This window comes from Homo sapiens, chromosome 10 (assembly GCF_000001405.40).
Source record: "Homo sapiens chromosome 10, GRCh38.p14 Primary Assembly".
Lineage (NCBI taxonomy): Eukaryota > Metazoa > Chordata > Mammalia > Primates > Hominidae > Homo > Homo sapiens.
Window position 1 is genome coordinate 117,674,409 of NC_000010.11, and position 4,189 is coordinate 117,678,597.

The following is a 4,189-nucleotide window of genomic DNA, read 5'->3' on the forward strand; positions in this document are numbered from 1 at the left end:
GTGGGGCTCAGAGGAGAGTGGGAAAATCCTGTTTGTTTCTCTTTATTCCTGGGGACTTGCAGAGACCTAGCAGTGAGCTGGCTCTAAGAACAGAGGCCCGCCTCCCCGCCCATCCTCGAAAACTGATTCCTCCTCAGGTTCCTAACAATTGGTGTTTTATCACATTTCCACATGCAAAATGTGTGCCATTCTTCATTAGATTTTCAAGGCTCAGATTGATGAGGGCAAGGTAAGAGCCAGACACAAGGTATAAGAGACAAGGTTTAGTAATGAGTTTGAAATTTACAAAACACAGAAGCAAATATGGCTTCAATACACGACGTGACCCCTTATAAGGCTGGAAATTACTCTTCAAAAATCATTCTGGCCTGACTTCAGAGTCGAGTGGATGCTGGGATACCACAGATTGACTTTGAGAAGTGGGTTGGTATTGCAGGAATTTTTTAATTTCCTGTAACTCACAACAATTTTCTCCCAGTGAGACTTAGAGTCACTCCTGCGATGGTGCGCTGACCGCATTTGCTGAACAATCTGCTGCAAGAACCAGCTCAAGCAGAAAAGGAATATGTCAGGAGGAAGGGGACAAATGGGATTACCTTAATAAAAGTCATTAAAGGTTTTGAAAAGTATTTCCAGGTAAACGAGGGACCTGTTGCTTAAACAAATGTGTCCAGGTAAACGAGGGGCCTGCTACTTATGTATTTCAAAAAGTGAAATAAAAATGGCATCACTTACACTTCTGAACTGAAAAGAATTTGGGGAAAGCAGATTATTATGAATTATTTTTAATAGCTTCTTAATTAGCCCTTCAAACAGGTTTTTCAAAATCCCCAAAGGTGTCTAATTTGCATGACATGTTTTTACTTTTCTACGCATCTCATTAGCAGCACTTTGTTTTTTTAACCTAACAGCAAGATGGTATTACAACACTTTCAGAAGGTGGACCAAGAAAAGACAAGAAGAGAAAAAAGAAAAGAAAAGGAAAAAATCCTTAAATTATTGCTCCAAAAAAGTCCTGCGTTTCTTTTTCCATCTTCATGATGTCTTGCTATATTATCTCAGGGCACTCATTGGAGCTTATCTGTCTTTCAGAAATCACTAAACAAATCCGTCAGAGCAAAACCGTGGTGTGGAGGATGGTCTATTGGATGCGATCCACTGGGGCAAAGATTTATTAGGCGGACAACCCCTTCTTCTACCCAACAGCAAATCCATTACAATAATGGGCTTCGAACCCATCTGCAGGCAAACAGCGGGTCAGGAGGAGCCCGATGTGTGGACACTGAGCAATCTGAACATGGCTGCCTTTTACAATGTGTGAAGCCAGGCAGAAAAGCAGCACATTTGATTGAGAACAGAGGAGAGCGGCCAGAATCTGCCTTCCCTTTGCTCCCGCTTCCGGGGGGATTCATGGCGGGGGATCTGGAGGCGACACTTGGCAGCCAAGGGCGTGGGGCCAAATGGAGGGCCCGGAACTCAGAAAGAGAGGAGGGGGAGCTAATTAATGCTTTGTCCTGCCTGCCCTTCTCTCCTCCCTACCCCCAGCGGCCAACAACTACCACCACCATAATACTAAAGAGCAATATTATCTGGTGCTTACCATGTGCTAGTTCTTGTGCTAAGTGCTTTCCTGGAATTTTCTCCTCTTTATCCTGGCAGCAAAATAAACCCTATTTGTTAGCCCCATTTAACAGATAATAGCTATTTAATAGCTACTTGTATTGAGTACTTCTGTGTGGCAGGGCCTGTACTTTATTTGTATTAATTCAATTAATCACCACAACAGCCACTGGCATGGGTACTATTTTGGTCCCCATTTTACAAATGAGGAAAAGGAGGCAAAGAGACGTAACTTGACTTGGTCACACAACTGTGATCAGCAGAGATGGGATTTCAACCCAGGTTGTGGGACACCATCTGTTATCATCCCTCAAGGCCCATCCTAGTTGCCTCTTTCCTCCAGGAAGCCTTCTCTGACTTTCCCACAGATCTGCGTATCTCATTCTTCCTCAGCCATATTTCATTATTTGTGCAGTCCTCTGAAATGATAAACCCCTGGAGAGCAGGGGCCGTGGTCTCCCCATGACACACCTCCATATTCGCAGCATTACCCAGCCTGATGCCTGGCACATAGTAGGTACTCAAGACATAGTTGTTGAATGAAACATCTAATCAAAAAGCAGCTTTAGTTTTGAATCTGGGCATTGTTAGGAGACAAGGGCCTGATGTTGCTTATTACATTTCAAGGTGATTTTTTTTTTCTTTTTTTTTTTTTCTTACTCACTAATGGAAAATTCTCTTCTGAAGTCACACTCATTAGCACTCAGAGGCTGTTGTGGCAAAAGCTTTCTAAAATAGCCCCAAGTTTATTTGTGGGAGGGAAAGGAGCTAAGCCAGAGACAAAAGTATTAAGGCTTGGCATGCCGGAAAAGTTTGAAATGTGGGGGCTGGCTGCCTCTCACCTCGGTCCCGGGGCAAGGGTGGGAGATTGCCGGGCCCCAGAGGGGCTAGTTAGATTTTGTGTTTAGGGAGAGAGCAGCAAGGAGGGCTAAAAAGGAATGCACCAAAGCCACGTGGAAATGATGTGGTGTCGTTTTATCTTTTCGACAGACCTAGTTTCCAGCAACACGGAACTAATCAACAGTAGTAAACGTCTTGTAATTGGCACCTCTTTTATTATCAGACGCATAAATCAAGGAAGCTTCTCTCTCCAGTTGGAACAGGAGCTCAATAAAATTGGTGCAGTTCTCTGCTGTAGGGAAAGGGTTCTGTTTTTCTCCGGGCTCTCTTTGTTCGTGTTATATCATGACGTGCATTTTACATTCATGATCCCATTTTAACTCTTCCAACAACCTTTGCAGTAGATTTAATTCCCATTTTGCGGATGAAGAATCTGAGACTTAGCATCTGTCAAAAGAAACAAAACCACACAGTAAGCTGGGATTCGAATCCAGGACTTTCTGATGCAAGATCCCACAGACCTAATGACATTGCTGCTGCTGTCGGCCTGACTGTCCCGCCCTTTCAGAAAGAGCACACTGATCAGTGGGTGGAGCTTCTGGCTGCATCCTAAAGGTGTCGCAAGGTCCCCACCTAGCCTACCTACCGCGTGACTCACATGTTACTGCTAAAGGGATGCCTTGGGGTTAAAATACTGTCCACAGATGTTTTGGCTAAAAGACTCAATAATAGAAGTGCTCTGGTCTGGACTGAAAGATGATAGTTAGAAGCCGGAAAGAGGGGATAATAAAATCTACCTGATAGGATAATTGTGACAAGAAACTGAAACACTGAACGTAAGACTGTGGGATGGTGCCATCTCCTAATCACCATCATTATTCATAGCTCTGCAAGGCTGCTGTGGAGACGCTATGCAGTTTTCTCCTCCACTGCATTCAGCCAGGGTTGATTGGGGGCTTGCCCTGCGTGCGGCCACAGGTCCTCCTGCAGACACCACCCCACACACACTGTATCCTCCCAAGGAGAAAGAGTGGAAAGCCAGCCATACAGCAAATGCTCCCCAATTGCTTCTTCTTCTTGAAAACTTAGGTATGTGGACAGAGTCAAGGAAAGGCTAGATGTCGGGCCTCCAGGAGCAGTCAAGGGTGAGGGTGGAAGGCCCCGTCCTGCGTCTGTCTTGTGATGGCAGCTGGCTTGTGAGAGGGTCTTGTGGCCACAGTATTAGGCCTCTGCCTGGACCCTGCAGGCCAGTCTAGGAGCACTGCAAACACAGTGAGATGCCACTTTGGGATGTGTAAAGGTGACCCATGCTGACAGGAGAGGCTTCAAGGCCTTTCTGATTCAGGATGTAGGTAGACACTTCTAATGTTCACCTCTGTCTGATTCTTCCCTCCTTCTGCACACGAGCGGATTACATTTCCTGGGCCTCTGCTGTTTGATGAGCTGTGTGAGTCATTTTAGCCAATGGACTGTGGGTTGAAATGATGCATTTGTGTCTTCCCAGCTGAAACATTTGATTGCCTGTATGAGATACTATTCTTCCGCTGTTTCAGCAAAAACCCTGAATATTGTGTTGAGATGGTAGCCTAATAAAAAGATTCTAGAACATTCTGTAACATAACAGAACACCCCTCCCTCCCCACTGACCTGCCTTGGGCTTATACTCTGAGCAATACACTTACCTTTATTATTTGACATCATGAAGATTTGGGGTTGTTCAGGAAAGCCT

At 45.0% G+C, this 4,189-nt stretch overlaps 1 long non-coding RNA gene across 1 annotated transcript; it reads right to left on the reverse strand.

The window, feature by feature from the left end:
- Positions 1-2,655: 2,655 nt before the first annotated feature.
- LOC124902555 (uncharacterized) lies at positions 2,656-3,919 on the reverse strand. Its single transcript, XR_007062384.1, has 2 exons — positions 3,834-3,919; positions 2,656-2,907 (listed from the first exon to the last, which is right to left on the reverse strand). It is a non-coding gene; the product is annotated as an uncharacterized LOC124902555 (long non-coding RNA).
- Between the last annotated feature and the right edge of the window lie 270 nt (positions 3,920-4,189).